The sequence below is a fragment of the Homo sapiens genome, chromosome 1 (genome assembly GCF_000001405.40).
Source record: "Homo sapiens chromosome 1, GRCh38.p14 Primary Assembly".
Lineage (NCBI taxonomy): Eukaryota > Metazoa > Chordata > Mammalia > Primates > Hominidae > Homo > Homo sapiens.
In genome coordinates this window covers 230,854,657-230,873,515 of record NC_000001.11, presented here as the reverse complement: position 1 = coordinate 230,873,515, position 18,859 = coordinate 230,854,657, and the positions used below count along the sequence as shown (strand labels likewise).

Below are 18,859 nucleotides of genomic sequence, written 5' to 3'. Positions count from 1 at the left end.
AACAAAAGACAAAGGAACCCTGTTCTGTGATCTCAATTCCGTCCCAAACTATGAGGTGCGCGGGTGGTCAGGGACAAGCTTAGGTGAGTCTCTTCTGCTGATGCCTCAGTTTTCTTTTCTGTAGAGAGGGAATTAATGATGCCAATTATGGAATACTTATTCATTCCTTCATAATTCATAATTCCTTCACTATGAATAAGGCATTATTGTTTACAACAGTAAACAAGGCAGATAAGGTTCTCCTTATTGTACAGTTTGCATTCTAGTGGTCACTCAAGAACATTTCTGAGGAAAATAACTGAAATGACACTTACCAGGAAGAACTCCACAGCTCAGGACACCAGAGACAGTTTGACTCGGTTAAAGCACTTGTTGCTATGTCTCCCTAATTTTTTTCTTTTTTTGGGTGGGAGGCGGGGGCGGTGGGGACAGCTCTGTCACTCAGGCTGGAGTGCAGTGGCATGATTTTGGCTCACGGCAGCCTTGACCTGCCCGGGTTCAAGTGATCCTCCCACCTCAGCCTCCCAAGTAGCTGGGACTACAGGTGCACACCATCACACCTGGCTAATTTTTGTATTTTTTGTAGAGATGGGGTTTCGTCATGCTTCCCAGACTGGTCTCAAACTCCTGGGTTCAAGTGATCCACCTGCTTTGGCCTCCCAAAGTGCTGGGATTACAAGCATGAGCCACCATATCTGGCCTCCCTAATTGCTAAGAAAAGCATTCCAGGAACGAATACCATGTTGTCTTAGTCCATATTCTGGTTAAAACCGTATACTTGAAACTAGGTAATTTATAAAGAAAAAAAAAAAGGTGGGAGGGGGTACGTGATGAGAAATTCCTTAATGGGTGCAATGTACATTTTTCAGGGGATGGTCATCACTAGGTGATATATCCATGTGACAAAACTGCACTTGTACCCCCTGAATTTATACAAAAAGAAAAAGAAAAGGAATTCATTTCTTACAATTACGGAGGCTGACAAGTCCAAATTTGAGTGGCTGCATCTGGTGAGGTCTTTCTTGCTGGTGAGGACTCTCTGCAGAGTCCCCAGGTGGTATAGGGCATCCCATGGTGAAGGGGCTGCGCATGATTGTTCATATTTCTCTGCTCTTCTTATAAAACCACCAGTTGGCTGGGCGCAGTGCCTCACGCCTGTAATCTCAAGACTTTGGGAGCCCAAGGCGGGTGGATCGCGAGGTCAGGAGATCGAGACCATCCTGGCTAACATGGTGAAACTCTGTCTCTACTAAAAATACAAAAAATTAGCCGGGCGTGGTGGCAGATACCTGTAGTCCCAGCTACTGGAGAGGCTGAAGCAGGAGAATCGCTTGAACACAGGAGGCGGAGGTTGCAGTGAGCAGAGATCGCGCCACTGCACTCCAGCCTGGGCGACAGAGTGAGACTCTGCTTCAAAAAAAAAAAAAAAAAAAAAAAAAAAAAAAAAAAACCCCCCCCCCCCCCCCAAAACAAAAAAGCCAAAAACAAAAAACCCACCAGTCCCACTTCCATGATAACCCATTAATCCATTAACCCAGTATTGGTCCATGAATGGATTAATCCATTCATGAGAGCAGAGCCTTCATAACCCAATCAGTTGTTAAGGGCCCCACCTCTCAATACTGCCACACTGACGATTTAATTTCAACATGAGTTTTGGAGGAGACAAATATGAAACCATAGCACATATGAAAACCTGAGGTTGCTTACACAGACCCGGTAGAGTGTGCTCAAGGCCCTGCAGAGCCGATCTTGTGTGGGACCCCGATCATTCATCACACACGGAAATAATGCTGTTAACACACCCTTTTCATCTCCCCCCATATTGCTTAACATAAAGTAGCAAATGCCTCAGTAAAGTGCTGATGATTAAAGGAATACCCTTTGGACCACTGCAAGGTTTGAAAGCATTTCCGTGGGTCAGGCACCACGTGTTAGCCTCTTCATTTTGTGAACAGAGAGAGTCTACTGGCTAAACCACATTCACAAAGAAAGATAATTTAGGCTGCCTCCATCCAAATTCTTACCTAAGAAGATGTTACAGACTAAACACTTGTGTCCCCTCAAAATTCTTATGTTGAAACCCTACCTAATACCAATGTGATGGTATTAGGAGGTGAGGCCTGAAGAAAGTACTTAGGACTGACTAGATGAGGTCATGAGAATGGAGTCTTTAGGAAAGGGATTTGTGCCCTACGGGAGTCATGAGAGAGCTTGCTGTATCCCTCTTTCCACCATGTGAGGATATAACAAGAAGCTGGCAGTCTGCAACCCCAAAGAGGGCTCTTACCAGAATCTGATCACACTGGCATCCTAATGTCAGACTTCCAGCCTCCAGAACTGTAAGAAATACATGTTTTTTGCTGAAGTCACCCAGTCTATGGTACCACGTCCCAAAGGGACTGCGACAGGTGCTTAGCATGACAGCCATCCCGCACTATTTTACTTGAAGTCTTGGTCCATTCGGGCCACTATAACAAAATACTATGAACTGAGTGGCTTATCATCAATAGAAATTTATTTCTCACAGACCTGGAAGCTGGGAAGTCTGAGATCAGGGCACCCACAGACTTGGTGTCTGGTTCTGCTTCCTGGCTCATAGGTTGTGCCTTTTGATGGCACCTTCTTGCTGTAAGGTCACACGGTGGATGGGGCAAGTGAGCTCCCTTGAGTCTCTTACAGGGGCACCAGTCCCACTCATGAGGGCTTTGCCCTCCTGACCTAACCATCTCCCCAAAGGCCCCACATCATCTTACCAGTTAGCATTTCAACATATGAATTTTGGGGGGATATAAACATTCAGACCATGTAACCTAATTACATATTTGGAGTTTGGCTTTTTTTCTTTTTTTCTTTCTTTCTTTTTTTTTTTTTTTAGACAGAGTCTCCCTCTGTCGCCCAGGCTAGAGTGTTGTGGCGCGATCTTGGCTCACTGCAACCTCCGAGTCCCTGGTTCAAGTGATTCTCCTGCCTCAGCCTCCCGAGTAGCTGGGATTACAGGCACGTGCCACCACGCCCAGCTAATTTTTGTATTTTTAGTAGAGACGGGGTTTCACCATGTTAGGCAGGGTGGTCTCGATCTCCTGACCTCATGATCCACCCGCCTCGGCCTCCCAAACTGTTGGGATTATAGGCGTGAGCCACCGTGCCCGGCCGGAGTTTGGCTATTTTTATTCCCTCCAGGAGTAGATAAAGATATATGTAAAAAAAAAAGTTTCTAATTTCAGCCAAGTCATCTGTTAGAGCCATACTTTAATTCCCCTGAGTTTCTTCTTATAATCTGGAAGAATTTTTCTTTCAGTTAGCCCCTTATCATCCAGATCATGGACTTTACATACTTTGGCCAATGTCCCTGAATTATCTCACGCTTTTATTATCTTGAAAACTTCTTTGACAATCAATTATTGCCAGACCCAAAACACCTCATGGGGTTGTGGTTTTTTTTTTTTTGAAAGCAACAATTATTTCCACAACTGCTTTGAAAACAGCATGAGACCAAGTTTCTAAGGGTACGGACAGCTTCTTATGTGAATATCAAAGCAAGCCTGGGGATGTTAATTAATTTCAAGAATATATCTTTAAACATTACCTATATTATTAAACAAGGATTAGAGGAGAGAAATCAGTGGGATTCAGGTCAATGTATTGAGCTTCTCTAGCATCAACTCAAACAGAAGATCATACTCCAAAAAACTGTCCTTAAACTTCCGGTCTCATAAATAATCCGCCACTTACTGTGGAGACTATATTTGGTGGTGCTTGCCTTTCCCTGCTTCAATATATTATGTTGTGAACATTGTTGATAATAATGTCTTTAACTGTAGAGCCTGCCACATTCATGACATTCCAAAAATATTCTGAGGATTTCTGGGCCGGAAGATGAGGCCATCTCACATTTAAAATAGGACTTTGCAAGTTATTTCTACTTTTGTGTTCAGAACTATCCAGGCAAAGACCCTGGATAACAGCTGAAATGCTGGTTTTTGTTTTTGTTTTTTTATTTTACGAGTGGACACAATTCTCACCTGAGTCCTGTTAGTCTTGTTAAAATCAGTCAGATGGAGAGAGGGGCTTGGGGGAAGTGGGGGCTCGCTATAATTTTAATTTTGTGGTCTGTCTGGGACACACCTCAAAATTACAAACCCTGGCCCCCTACCTGTTGGGATGTCGCCTCTGAGTCTGAAAACTTTCTGCTCCTCTTTGGTTTGTTTGCAAACGTCGAACTGCCAAGAGTTCTGAGCTCCTTGGGTTGGGGAAAGGCACCTGGGCCACCGGGTACTTCATGCACCCACCTGGCCCCGAGGGGCGGCGGGAGCTGACTTTCCTTGAGCACCAGATGCCCCGAACCGGTCCAGCCTTCCAGGTCGCCCTCCAGCCTCCGGGCTGCCCTGCGCCCCCGGCTATCTGCAGCTCACCGCGCCAGGCCCCGGGCCCAGCGTCCTGGACGGGCCCAGAGAAAGCAGAGAAGGTGTGGCTCGTCCCAGAAAGGGACAGAAGGAAAGGAGTAAAAACAGAAGCCAGGCAGCCAGCGGCTTGGCCTGAAATGCTGGGGCTTTCTTAGGCTCACTGGAGGTTGAAAAAAGTTTCCTTTGTCAAGCAGTGGCCACGTGGCGCTATGGCGGTCACTACCGGGAATTAACCACGGCCACCCTCTCAGAGCGCCGGGCGCGGACTCAGGGACACGCCGGCTACCACCTGAGCCGGGTAAGGGGAGCCCGAAACCTGCGGGCACCGCGGTAATCCACTATGGAGGCGTAAAGGGGGACTCGTGGGGTCCGCGAGGGGGTGGCGGGGGGGGGCCCGGAGGGAGGAGCTCCCGGGGAGGGGGCCACGGAGGGCCGGGGTCCCGGGGCTTGGGGAGCTGGGTTGGCTTGGAGACCCGGGTACGCGGCGGTGCAGGGCGGGGTTCCCGGAGGGGGCGGGGCTCCGGGTGGCGCGGGGCGGGGCGAGGGCGGGCACAGCGAGGGGCGGGGCGCGGGCCGGGAGCGGCGGGCAGGCCGGGCATGGCGTCCATGGCGGCGGCGATCGCGGCTTCGCGCTCGGCGGTCATGAGCGGGAACCGGCCTCTGGACGACCGGGAGCGAAAGCGCTTCACTTACTTCTCGTCGCTGAGCCCCATGGCCAGGAAGATCATGCAGGACAAGGAGAAGATCCGCGAGAAGTACGGGCCCGAGTGGGCGCGGCTGCCGCCCGCGCAGCAGGACGAGATCATCGACCGGTGCCTGGTGGGGCCGCGCGCCCCGGCGCCCCGAGACCCCGGGGACTCGGAGGAGCTCACGCGCTTCCCCGGCTTGCGCGGGCCCACGGGCCAGAAGGTGGTGCGCTTCGGGGACGAGGTAGGTGCGGGCCTGGCCGCGGACCCTCTTCCCCTCCCGGCGCCCCGAGGCGCCCCGGCCCGGTGGGCACCTGCCGGCGTGAGGCCGCCCCAGCTGGTAGGGGCTGGAAAAGAAAAGGCAGGAATGGCAGTGGGTGGGAGGGGAGCCCCAGAGCCGAAGTTCGGGGGGTGGGGGCTCCGCTGGGGGAGTTGGTTAAGAGATCGCCGAGAGGTGGGTCGTTAAAGAACCTCCATCTAGACCTGATCCGCCGGCTCGCACGGACTCCAGAGACTTCTCCCGGAGCTGTCGTAAGCGAGGCTGACCAAAGTGGAAACAACAAGCAATTTTAAACCAGACAAGCCTGGGTTTTAATCCAGCTCTGCTACTTACTACCTGTATGGCGGTGGGTCAATTAACTTCTTAGAGCCTCAGTTTCCACTGTGTAAAACGGGGGTAATAACGCCACCCCGTGCCTGCCCGTGAAGGGACTGAGCAAATGATATATACTAACATGAATACTTGTGATGAGATGTATGGGGAAAGTAAAATTGCCAAGCCAGGTAACAAGGAAGAAAAGGTGTCTTCCAAGATAAGGAGGGAAACCCATCCATCACCCTAAGATGTTTTCCAAGTGAGCACAATGCCCAGCGTATGTTTTAAGGGTGAGCATGGTGGCCCTGTTTTCCACCAAAAAACTAAGGGACGATAAGTTTAAATGAGCTCCAGTAAGTCTTGGCCACATAACAGGGCATGTTTAGGTCTCAGATCTAGACACTGTCCAGACTGCTAGAGGGACAGTCATTTGTGAAGGTAGAAACGCTGAATCTGTTCCAGAAAAAGCTCAGGGATGACCCACACTTAGTCACAAACGCCTGAATCTTCTGTAGGGTTCAGAAACTTGGTCTTCTTTTTCTTAGAAATGTGTTTAACCGAAGCCTGTTTGGTGCCATTAGAATTTGCACTGTGACTCTTTGGCGTTTCAAACTCAACTTTTGCCGTGAGGAGCAAAGTCAAGCTGAGCAAAGAGTGTAGGAATGAAATCGCTCGCTGTTAAGGCTGTTTCTTGGGCTAGAGGAAGGAGAAGCTGGGAGAGATTTTTTCCGAGGAAGTTGTGGATTGTGGATGGAATTCAAGTTAAGGAGGTTTAGATCAGATTTTCAGGCTTGGGTGTGCTGAGACATTTATTAATACGAAGTGTTCATGGTCATAAACCCACTTTAATGTGAGGGAAAAGTGAAATGACTGAAGGATGCTGCCAGTGTTTCTTTATTCTGATGGAATCAAAAGGAAATTCTCTACTGGACTTCAAATTCTGATGGCTTTGCCAGGAAAAACAAGGGTGTGGTAAACTGGGGAGGGGAAAATATAGGTTTTAAAATGTATTCCTAGAGCTGAAACATTTTCAGTGGGAAAATAGGCGTATTTATAAAGACTTGTGTGCAGTGTTTGCGCCCAGATTTGGGGGATGAAAAAGCAGGCAGCACTCCTTTGGAAGAGTCACGAATAAATATGACAGGAAGTAAACTTCTAAGTACTTACAAATGTTGGAGAGTGACTGTCATTTTCCCTTAGCTTGGTGTCCAGCTAAGAATATCTACACGCCTACTCATGATGAAAAAGCCCATGTCATAGAAGAGCCCAGTATTACTGACAAGGAAGAATGTGGCCAAGTTAATTTTTTATTCTCATTCCTCATCTGGTGCCAGACTGAGCCGTTTCTGAATTTGTAAACTCAATGTGATTTAAAAGCAAGTGGAACTGTGCCGTGCTGTGGTGCCTGTATGTCCTTCCAGGAGTAACTCAGGAGAATTGAATCTCAGCTTTGCAAAACCAGCTGAGAGCATGTTCTGAAATGCCTCTGACCAGCCTCAGCTCAGACAGCAGAGGGGCAGATAGACCCTGAATTTTAACAGAGGTACATAGGAACATGGCCCAGGGTACATTTTTGCCTGCAGTGTCTGCGTAGGTTAATAGCAGTAGGGAATTTAAATTCCCCTGGACTGCGCCAGAGGTAGGCACCAAAGTGGAGTCAGTTGTCTCATTGTTGTCCCCAGGAGATCATTCATGGAGGAGGGCCAGCTCCTGGGCACAGGGATGATGGATAAGGACAGGATAGGCTGCTGAACAGAGGTACCCCCAAATAGGTGACCCCAAGTTTGTCCTAAAGGACTGTAAACTAGATAGAGTGGGGCCCAATGTCTCTTCCCACTTGATCAGTCTTCTGATGTGGTCCTGGGGCCTCCACAGCCCTTTCCGCTGCCCTGAAGGACACTGCCTATTTCTTTGAATGGTATCCTCTCCCCCATTGCCAGTAATGTTTTTCTATCTCACATAGCAACGTTTTAAGTCAGAGCATGCAAATACAGCCTCCAAATGTGGTGATCATCTTCTAGACATTTCTTGTGTATTGCAGGAACAAATAGAAATTGATTATATGATGCTGATCACAGATCTTGGTGGTTTTGAATGTGGTCAGGGGCTCAGTTCACTCACTGAAGTTCCGTGTGCATCTGACAGGTGTGGCATCTGTGTGTGTGTTTTCATCCTCATCCCTTGGCCTGAGGCCCAGATGGCCCCTTGCCTTGATGACTTAACCTGGTTCTCCTCAGGGAAGGAGGCTGCTGCCTTTGAGTATTGAAGCCGTGAAGGGACCTATCAGTCTTTAGGTTCTTGCTTCCTTGGAAATCAACAGAGCAAATATTTCTCAAGGCCCATTATATTAGAGACAAGGCATTTTAGCTTAGGGTACTTCATCCTCCCATAATCTTTACCAACTCCTTTAAAAATCCCCACGTGTGAACATATGATCTCAGTAAAAAAGCATGGAAGTATAGCTTCAACCTAGGCCCCGGCCCCTTCCCACAGCCACCCAACCCCATTTTGTGGAGAATCTGGAGCTGCTGCTGGAAGAACGCTTCTCAACCAGCAAAAGGAGAGGAGCCGGTGGAGCCCCATGTCCTGGATTCTTGTCCTGGCCATGCCAGCAGCAAGGTGCCACCCCTCTTAAGGGGTAGTTTGCCTCTCTGTGAAGTCTGGTGGCAGAACCAATGGCTCACAGAGTTTCTTTCCAACTCGCTGGTCTGGCTTGGAGCAGGCCCAGACACTGGGGCCGTGCACTTTGGGTCCAGTATTTTGGTAAGAACATTAAGGCAGGTTTGCAAATGGATGCTTTTGACAGTCTTTCACCCACGCTGCTTGATTGCCACGTTCTTCCTCCAGCAGTAGGGTTTCGGGAATGGCTTAGTTTGGGAGGGGAAAAGTTTTTATTTTAGAGGGATCACCCTGTTTGCTTCTGCTGTTTCCTGTTATCTGCAAGGAGAAAACCCCACACACCTCTGAATTGTTAGGAATGTGTTCCTCCCTGCTCCTGCCCCCAATCTTCTTGTCACTGATCTAGCAAGATCTGAGTACATGGTGAGAGTTACAGGGTTCTGCGTTCTGTGATACATTCTTGGCTCCAGATGGGCCCTAAGCAGATGACTGGGGGAGCTTTGGCAGCTGGTGCGTCTTGTTCGCGTGGACCTACTTGCCTCTTCCATCTCTCCATACGGTGGAGCTGGGCAAGAAGGGTGTTTCAATATCCCTAATCGGGGTTTCACATGTTGTGGAACGTGGATTTTTAAAGAACCCGGAGCCAGACAGCTCTGTCCCCTCTTCAACAGCTTGGCATGATCCACTGCCGTGTCCCTCCAGTGCCTTCATCTCTGCTCCTCCTACAGGAACCTGAGGACTTGCTGTTGCTCTCTTATTCCTCTTGGCCTTAGCTTCCTTTTCTGAAGCTGTTTTTGCCTCCCTATGTCTGCTGCATTGCCTGTGGCTTCTTAGTCCTTAGGCTAGAGGCGGCTATGGGTACCTATGTTTAGCAAACTGCTGAGCTGCTACACCCGCTCTGTGTCATTAGGGCTACCTGCAAAAGACCTTTCTGCAAACCTAGGGGCCTGTGTGCTGGCCAGCCTAGAGGTTTGCTTTCTAAAATAAACCAATTTATTACAAAAGTTTTTACCTGTACATTATTGTTAAAAGTTTCAAACCAGGCAGAAGGAGCATTATAAAACAGCTGGTAGAATCAATCGCTTCAGAACTTTCTTGAGCCTTACATCTTTGTTAGATTTGAGTTTGGCTGCTGTGTGGCCTCTCAATGCAGGACCAATGACACATGAAGTTTCCTCATCCCCTTTCCCTTTAGTAGACTGGCCTTTTCTTTTTGAAATCTGACATTAAAAAAATAAAATAAAAATAAAAAAAAGGAAAAAGAAAATTAGGGAGTTGCTTTCTCAGCATTTTGGACTCATTTTTTAAGGAAGGTGGATGTTTGAATTATGATTCCCACCTTGTGCCTGCTGTATCCATGGATGTTTTAGAAAGGATAGCAGGGTTTTCTGAGTCCCTCTACCTGGGGCCCTGGGCAGGAGTTGAGATGGCCCTGCTTCAATTCCAGTTCCACGGGCTGAGAGGAGAGGGCGGTCGGGCCTGTTCTGTGAGCTTCCCTTTTATGTTGTGGGTTCTCTGCCCTGAGTAGCACGTGGCCTGCTGCCCTGGGAGCTCAGGCAGCAGCTTAGGCCTCTCCTCCCCAGGCACCTCTGCCTGCTGGCTCCTGTGGGAGGGTGGCCCAGTGGCAGCCAGGGAACAGGTTTAGCAAAGAAATGAAGTGACTTGGTCACAGACCTGCGGGGAGGGAGGGCAGGAAGCATGGCGACAGGTGTGGAGTCATCTTTTAATTGATAAGAGTCACTTTTACACTCTAAGCAAGGGATTCCCATAGTACTGGAGAAAATATCTATTTCTTCTTCTTCTTCTTCTGAATAAATGAAGGAAGATGAGACCTATTTGTTTAGACTTCCTGTCATATTTTGCTCATTTCTTTAGCATTTCCTCCACCTACTCTGTATCCTGTTTCCATTACCATGCTCATGCTGAGTTTTTGTTTTGCTGTAATCTATGGAGGCTTGAGTTTCTGGATTCGTATTCATGGTGGAAAACATGCCCCATGGTTAAATCAGGACTGTTTTTCTGTCTTTGCAACTGCAGTGTTGTATTTCCAGTTATGGAAACCCCCTTATCTCAGCAGAGTTAAAAATATTACAAGTCAAAGGGAAAAGCATGGATTCCATAAATATGTAAACAATGCTTGCTGAAAATAAGCAGTTGGTAAAAAAAGAACATATTTTAATCATTCTTCCTTACTCTCCTCTTTTTGAATAGACTTAATTTTTTAGAGCAATTTTAGATTCACAGCAAAATTGAGCAGAAGGTACAAAGTTCTCATTGCCTCTCTGGCTCCCACGCTACAGTGGTGCATTTGTGACAGCTGATGAACGTACATGGACACGTCGTTACCACCCAAAGTCCATAGTTTAGGGTTCACTCTTGGGTTGTCCACTGTATGGATCTTGACAAATGAATAATGACATGTACCCATCACTATAATATCACACAGAGGAGTTTCACTGCCCTAAAAATTCTCTGTGTTCCACTTACTTATCCTTCCATCCCCCCAACCCCTGGCAACCAACGATATTTTAACTGTCTCCATGGTTTTGCCTTTTCCAGAATGTAATATGGTTGGATTCATACAGTATGCAGCCTTTTGAGATGGGCTTCTTTCACTTAGTGATACTCATTTAAGGTACTTCCATGTCTTTGTATGGCTTGGTAGCTCATTTCTTTTTCTTGCTAAATAATGTTCCATTGTCTGGATGTATCACAGTTTACTTATCCAATAACTGAAACACATCTTGGTTGCTTCTAAGTTTTGGCAATTATGAGTAAAACATCTGTGTGTAGGTTTTTTGTGTGGACGTAAGTCTTCAGTTCATCTGGGTAAATGCCAAGGAATGTGATTACCTCACTCCTGTAATATATTTATTTGTGGAGGAATAAATATAGAAATAACTATAGCAGAAGCACAGTTGTGCATGGAGCTGTGGTTGGGAGGCCCTCAGTTGGTCAACATGTCCAGGGTGCTGTCATTATCAGTGACAACAACCAGTGTTGTCACTCGGTAATTAAACCTTACAGTTGATCCACAGGACAGGCTCTGGCATCTCTGAGGGAGTGATGGGCACGACACAGCTCACCAGGAACAACGTGTTCCACCCTGGATGAACCAAGATGGCCAGGCCACCTGGCATCACTACAGGGTGACACACTCTGCAACCTATGGGACTTTCTGTCCTGCTCACATGCTCTGCTCTCTAAGCCTTATTTCTCTAGCTTATAGAATTTCTCAGTTTACATTTCTTACCTTCAAGCCAAGATGCCACAGGTGTCAACCAGAAACTCTCCTTATTTATGGATTTCAGGAAGACGATGACCATTTCTGGCATCAATACGCGTGTTGCCGTGTTCCAAGATCCTGATGCTGTTTTAGAATCACCCCAGAAAGCCCCTCACTCCCCGCCTAGCTGTTTTTCCTGGAACAGCTTGTGGAGGCCCTAAGGGAGCCCCCATGCTGGACAGCTCCCTCTGCAGGCGCTATCCATCCACACACCAGAAACACTTGCAGAATGTGATGAATATCAGGATGTTTGTTATGGTTGTAGCCTGTGGTATGCTGGAGCCGGCTCTGGGGGAGTGAGGCGAACTAGCCCTGACTTCTAGCATTTGCTGGTTGCCATGACCAGATACTCCACCATGGCCCGTTGCACGCTGTTGGCGTGACTCACGGGATGCATATCTGGGCACCGCGCTATATGGTATTTCCACCTTACACATACAATGGATGCAAACAACCTTAAGACCATGGATAATAGTAACTGTATTGAAATGATGAGTTTCTAGTGTTTATTACTTTTTTTGGGGGGGGCACACTTTAAAAAAATTCAGTTTTTACAGTAGTTTTAGGTTCCAGCAAAATTGAGCGGAAAGTACAGAGAGTTCCCACACAGACCTTTCCCAAAATGTACACACAGACGTGCATATGCACACAGCCTTTCCCACCACCAACATCCTAAACCAGAGTGGTGCACTGATTACAATCAGTGAACCTGCATTGTTTTTATCATTGTCAACCGAAGTCTCTGGTTTACACTAGGGGTCGCTCTTGGAGGTATACGCCATGATGGTATCATACAGAGGGGATCCATTGCCTTAACAGAAATCCTCTGTGTGCCACCTGCTCATGCCTCCCGCCCCCCAGGCTCTGGCAGCCACTGATCTTTTTACTGTCTCTGTAGTTTTGCCTTTTCCAGAATATCATATAGCTGGAATCATACAATATGTAGCCTTTTTAGATTGGCTTCTTCCACTTAATAATATTCATTTGAGGTTCCTCCATGTCTTTCCATGACTTTTTATTGTGGTAAAATACATACAACATAAAATTTACCGTTTTAACCACTTTTCTGTGTATAGTCCGAGGCATTTAGTACAGTCTCAATGTTGTGCAATCATCACCACCATCCATTTCCAGAACTCGTGTATTATTTAAAGTGAAACTATATCCTTTAAACAATGAAACTCTGTATATATTAAACAATAACTCCCCATTTCCTGGCCTCAGTCTCTGATAACCTCTATTCTACTTTCTGTCTCTATGATTTTGCCTACTCTAGGTACCTTATATAAGTGGAATCACATGATTTTTATCCTTGTGTCTGGCTTAGTTCACTAAGCATAATGTCTTCAAGGTTCATCCATGTTGAAGCATGTATCAGAATTTCCTTCCTTTTTAAGACTGAATAATATTCCATTGGATGGATAGACCACATTTTGTTTATGCATTCATCATCTGTCAGTGGATACCTGGTTGCTTTCATCTTTTGGCTATTGTGAATGGCACAGCTATAAACATCGGGGTATAAGGATCTCTGAGCCCCTGCTTCCAGTTCTTTCGGGTGTATACCTAGGAATGAAATTGCTAGAACAAATGGTAATTGTATGTGTAATTTTTTGAGGAACTGCCGAACCGTTTTATATAATGGCTGCATCATTTACATTCCCACCAAGAGTGCACAAGGGTTCCAGTGCCTCCACATCCTACCAATACTTGCCAGTATCTGCTTTTTGATAGTAGCCATCCTTGTGGGTGTGAAGTATATTACCTTTATTTTTAATACAATGGACTTAATTGCAAGTTTGTATAATTCACCTTTTTAATCACAGCAGTTAAACAAGATATTTAACAACAGGTTCAAGAAATTCCTCAAAATTTTACAATCAGCTCTCGTTAGTTGGTGCAGGCCTGCTCCAACACACCTCTGGTTGCAGCCTTGCAGCCTCCAAAAATAAAAGTGTCTAGGAACCACAGAGTTCTTAAGCCCTCCAGTATCCATTTTTTTTATCAACAAGTAAAGAAGTAAACGCTGGCGATATGATGCAAACATGTATTCCAGCACTATGAGCAAAAAATATATGTTATTATTTTTAATTCTGTTTCATTTAGGATTTAGGAGGTGCACACTGAATTGAATGAACATTTCCCAGAGAAGAGCAAATACTCAAGGTCTCTGGGATGTTAGGGAAAAAGATTGTTTGTGTGTGTGTTTATCCCGGAGTCCTTGGAGCTGCGTGGGGACTGGCAGAGCCTCTTACATGTAGCGCTGGCCTCTGATAATTGCCAAGTGCTCTGTGTTTCTGGTGGCTTTCTATAGCTTCCCCCCTGCTTTTTGGCTTTCTGCTCTGGGATTTGGTGACCTGGGGCATCTTTCTGTTCTGCACTCCAAAGAAGTCATTGTTTCTGGAGAGATTCAGTGCTGCCCATTTGGTATGGATGCCTCTTACGGAATTTGACTCTGAGGATAAGTCCTGGCCAACAATGAAGCCCACTCTCTTGTCGTGTGGCCTAAGTAACAGATGTGTTTTGACACTTAGATGATTTCAGATCCTAGGCGCCAGAGAGGGGGGTGGGAAAGCCTTCCAAGCAGTCCTAGAAAAAGCATATGTGATTGGTCCAAAAGCATGTGCCTGGCCTCATTTTGGTTGCAGGCTGGTCACCATGGGAGTAGAAGAAAGGACAGCATTGTATGCGTGTGAGTGGGTGCCGCCACTTTGCAATTCTGATTCCATTTGCATCCAACAGCCCAGGGAGCCTGTTCTTGCCGCCAGTGCTTTTTTGTGGCTAGAGCGTGCAGTCCACGGCTGACATCAGAGCTTCCATCACATTTTTGTTTGGCATGTTTATTTTTGTTAAGCACTTTATTGTTTTTTATGAGCTCAGAATTACAGAAACCCAAGGAATCTGCCCCTTGACTTCATTTCTTGCTGGAGCAAACAGAAGACTATTGACTCGACACTAAGTAGGGGAGAAATCACAGTGTGACCCTTTCTCCTCCTGTGACCCCCTTGGAATTTCAGCTAATATGGGTTGCAGTCACTGGAGAGTTGACTGTCCCCAAGCTCTGGGCTAAGTCTTCGTTCCTCAGAGTGTTGTATTGAGCCACCTTCCAAAGCCAAAAGCCTTATTATTTTAATCTTTGCAGATTTCAAAGGGACTTAAGGTATATAATTAATATTTAGAATCATATCGAGTAACAGGGGAGTCCAGCTCCATCATGCCCCACCCTGGCCAGTCAGTGGTCCTGCCCTCTGCCTGCCCCGCAGGTGTTCATGCACTTCCTCTTTCCATTTGGGTGGCCAGTGGCCTGTCTGATTCTGGATGGAAGGAGCACCTTTGCCAGTTGATTTCCATTTACCTTTTTCGAAAGATCCAAAGCTGGATCTCTACTCTACCCTGTGGATGGCCGGTTCTTCCTCCTGGAACTAAGAGCTGTGAAGAGCCGGTGAAGTCTTAGGGGGTGTGTGAGTGTGGGGTGTGGAGGCTGGGGAGGAAAATCAACCTGTGAAAATATCCAGGCTTGTGCAGAGATCATTTATTCACGAAGAGTTAATGAATGATTAACTAGAATAAATGATACTTACATTCCATCAGCCTCTTTTATTTTTCCCATGTGAAAACAAAGCCCTTCTTGGTTTGATTGCTTCTAAACGGAACTCAGAGGGTTCTGAGGATTTTAGGGACTTTGGTTATTTAGCTCAACTGTACCCCTAGCATGCACACAGAGACGTGGACAAGGAGCCCCCTAGAGCTGAAGGCTGGCCCTCTGCCTCTGCTAGGAGACATCTAATCACAAAGCCTTGGTAACTCACATTCCTCCAGGCATCCATTTCCATTTTTGGAGGAATGAAGTTTGTGCATTGGGAAGTGACTTGAGTTTAACTGAAATTCCAAACAAAAAGGCAGTGGTTCCTCTCATTTTTAAAGGTTTTGCTTGACAGCCATGAGGCACTGCATACCAATCAGTTCAGAAGTCAGGATCATAAGCAAATACCATTACAGGACAGTGACTGTAACACTCTGAGGATGGGGGTCATCTTACTGTGCACATGGTCATTAGTTGCACACACTATGTGGTTCTCAGAACTGACTGTTTGATACACTTTAATGCAGCTTAACCCAGTTTGTAGGGCTTTTCCCTCACTTTTGTAATTCTTAATATTTATACCTAGTATCTTTGTTAGTGGTGTTTTTTTTCCTGATATAAATATATTTAGTCCTTTTATATGCTGTCCTGGGAAAATAAAGACCTGGATTCTGGCCTTTTGACAGTCTCCTCTCTGGGTTTTCCTTGCTCTTTATCCCCAGCATATGTGAAGTATTTGTGCCACAAATGTACCAGCCTCTACTGCACAGAGCCAAGGCACACAGCACAGCCATCAGGACACAGAACCAGATCTCTACCCTGTTGATGGCTGGCTCTTCCTCCTGGGGCCAAGAGCTGTGAAGAGCCTGTGCCCCCACATTGGGAAGTCTTGGGGGAGTGTGAGTGTTGGGAGCGGGTGATTGTGGGGGAAAATCAACCTGTGAAAGGATCCGGGCTTGTGCAGAGTTTGTTTATTCACATATTCTCAAAGAGTGAGTAAGCGTCCGCTACGGGCAGTCGCTGAGTCTTCCGGGCACTTGGGATAGAGAAGCGGACAAAGGCCCTGCTGTGTTGCCCCTGTCATCTAGGGTTGGCCGTGCTTGGGCTGTGCTGGGGAGTCATCACACACTTCCTTCCCTGTCCCCGCTTCTTGGGAATAGGCCTTCAGCTGCCCAGACCCTGGCATGCCTTCGTTATTTGAGTTCAAAGACTGACCTCCCACTGGCTGTTCATGTTAGGAGGCGTCTGCACAGAGAACGCACACTCGGGGTCTGGAAGGCTGAATGTGTACACTTATGTGTTGGTGAGGCACTCCCCCTGCGTGGGCCCTGGCATTTGCCCCCAGTGTCTGAGGCTAAGCTAGGGTGGCGGAGGCTCTGTCAAAAGCTGAAAGAAGAGGGTCTGTGGGCAGAACTGGTTTGCCCTGTAGAGGAGAGGGAAGCCAGACCCTTGACTTAGGGGCGCAGAGTCGGTGTACCTATGGGTGGGAAGAAGACAGTTATCCAGGGATACTTACGGAAGGACATAAATCACCTGGAGTTTTGGGGAGATATGGATATGATCTCCGTTTAAAATATTTTATCCCATTTTAGCCTGTATCACCCAATGTGTCCTGATTTTTTGTTCTGAAAATATGCTCCCAGTAGAAGCAGTCAGACATGGTGCACACCTGTAGTCCCAGCTGCTCTGGACACCCAAGGCAGGAGCATCCCTTGAGCCCAGGAGTTTGCGTCCAGCCTGGCCAACATACTGGGACCCCATCTCTTAAAACAAACCAACAAACAAACAAAAGTTACCCAATCGAAGCTGGACACAGATGAGACATTTGCTAGCACAGGAATAACTGCGGGTAGAGGGTGGGATATAAGGAAAGGTGGCTTCCCCAAGTCATTTGTGCAGGCCAGTGAACAAAACATACTGGATCCAAGGTCAAATTCGTAGTGATTGTTCTATAGGGCTCTTTCTGTCCTGTTCTGTTTGGTGGGGGTGGGGAGTGATTTCAGAGTTCTTGTTATAATTAGTCACATGGATTACATTGGCGTTTTTCTTCATTGATTCTGCTGATCCATGCCCTCGAGCTCTCTGGTAGGCCTGTTGGGGAGGAGGGGAGCTCCTGTATTGGCATTGACTGGCAGATTATGGCTTGGCGTTCTTTTCCCAGATTACCTCATTTAATCCTTACAACAGCCCTGCAAGGGAAGTATCATTTTGCTTTTACAAATGAGAAAACTGAGGCTCAAAAAGGCTGAGTCATCTTCCCATGGCCACACAGCTAATCATTGTTCAGGGCTGAGTCTGTGCCTGATTCTGCTGAGACCATCAAGCCCTCATCCACTCCTACTCATCTCATCTGTCTGAGTCCATTGGGGGGCCTCACCGGCATTCCCTGTTGTCTGTTTGGCTGGGGAGGGGAGTGTCTGGCAGCCTCAGCGGGAAAGATGAGGGAGCAATCTGATCAAGACGGTCAGCGCATTATATTGAGAGTGTCAAAGCATCAGGCTTGTTTAGAGCCAGGAGTTGGGATTATTCCTAAGTTTTGGTTCCCCCACGGTCCTGGGTGGATATTTGCATGGGGTATGTCTGGGTTTGAATTTCAGACTTATTCTCGATTTTTTATTTCAGGATCTAACTTGGCAAGATGAGCACTCTGCCCCTTTCTCCTGGGAAACAAAGGTAAGTTGGATTAAATTTAGATCTATTTGTTCTTTTAAAAAGAACTGAGTAGTTGTATATTTTTCTTTCAGCATTTGATGGACTCAGAAGACAGCCCCCTGACTGCCAGGCTGCAGGGGATGTGTCCATTGTTGGTAGAAAAGGAGGGGATGGGAGGAGCATGGTGAGGAATTAGGAAACTATTGTGTGTGGTTTGGTGATAGTGAGTTCAAAGTAGTAGTGCTTTCTGCCAGGGTCCAATGACGCCCCATGATGCCCATTGTCTAGGACTCCCGGCCAGCTTGGTTAAGGGGGCCAGCCCTCTTGGGGGCCCTGTCTCTGCTCATACCTCTGGTTCCCAGCACTTAGCACCTTGATGGGAGATGCCCCATAAGACAAAGCTTTGAGCAAATGGGAGGTGACGAGCTGATTGATAGACATAGACATCCATTTAGCTAATTCATCCCAACGTGGATCACTAATTCTGTCTCCCAGTCATTCTTCTTCTCATCATTATCATCATCATCACCAGAGTTGCTTAAGAGCATCAAGCTTCACTGATTTTAATTCATTTTCCCCATCTCCTAAGTTGCCCCAGTAGAAGTACATTCATAAGCAAAATGACTAAAAGACAGGTGTCTTTAACCCAAGGGACAGAAATAAAAGACCAAGATTTTCTGAATTCTGGAACATTTGGTGATGTGTGTTGGAGGGTTCTTTACGTCATGAGAGTGTGTTACAGACAGAGACGGTGGTGAGCCTGGAATAGGGCTCGGACTGCTGGGCAGATCAGGGTTTTTAAATACTGATACCTCAAGGCACTTGTTTTTTGGTTTTTCACTTGTCCACATCATTGCTGATCAGAGCCCTCATCCCAGCAGGAGACCTATGAGGAGGGTGGGCCAGAGTGGTTCATGAAGGACCCTGAGAGGCCCTCATGTTGGCGACTGTGTCTTAAAATGAAATATTGCCCAAGGGTTCAGATGGACACAAGGACAGCTGACACTGTTCTTGGCACACAGACAGTATTTA

General features: G+C 46.9%; 1 protein-coding gene across 8 annotated transcripts in view, besides 4 other annotated features; it reads left to right on the top strand.

The window, feature by feature from the left end:
• The first annotated feature begins 3,924 nt into the window (after positions 1-3,924).
• C1orf198 (chromosome 1 open reading frame 198) overlaps positions 3,925-18,859 on the top strand; it is a 32,473-nt gene continuing 17,538 nt past the window's right edge. The window contains exons 1-4 of one of the 8 annotated variants that reach the window (NM_001136494.2): positions 3,925-4,034; positions 4,601-4,704; positions 5,114-5,336; positions 17,798-17,848. In NM_001136494.2, coding sequence (NP_001129966.1) covers positions 5,118-5,336; positions 17,798-17,848 — 270 coding nt within the window. In that variant the 5' untranslated portion in view covers positions 3,925-4,034; positions 4,601-4,704; positions 5,114-5,117. Of the gene's footprint in view, positions 4,469-4,597; positions 4,705-4,994; positions 5,719-17,508; positions 17,639-17,797; positions 17,849-18,859 lie in introns of those variants that run through there. The other 7 variants (XM_047432496.1, XM_047432495.1, XM_017002599.3 and 4 more) reach the window with 7 other exon arrangements.
• Positions 4,432-5,023: an enhancer, noted in NCBI's record as "NANOG-H3K27ac-H3K4me1 hESC enhancer chr1:231004239-231004830 (GRCh37/hg19 assembly coordinates)". NCBI's record gives its function as "activates a minimal SCP1, AML or CMV promoter by ChIP-STARR-seq in naive H9 embryonic stem cells {active_cell/tissue: H9 hESC(naive)}" and the evidence as "EXISTENCE:reporter gene assay evidence [ECO:0000049][PMID:30033119]".
• Positions 4,432-5,066: a biological region, named in NCBI's record as "NANOG-H3K27ac-H3K4me1 hESC enhancer GRCh37_chr1:231004239-231004830".
• Positions 4,847-5,066: a silencer, noted in NCBI's record as "silent region_1943". NCBI's record gives its function as "represses an Ori minimal core promoter by ATAC-STARR-seq in GM12878 lymphoblastoid cells {active_cell/tissue: GM12878}" and the evidence as "EXISTENCE:reporter gene assay evidence [ECO:0000049][PMID:35858748]".
• Positions 17,075-18,274: an enhancer, noted in NCBI's record as "MED14-independent group 3 enhancer chr1:230990988-230992187 (GRCh37/hg19 assembly coordinates)". NCBI's record gives its function as "activates an origin of replication core promoter dependent on BRD2, BRD4, P300/CBP and CDK7 cofactors, and independent of MED14, by STARR-seq in HCT116 cells {active_cell/tissue: HCT116}" and the evidence as "EXISTENCE:reporter gene assay evidence [ECO:0000049][PMID:35650434]".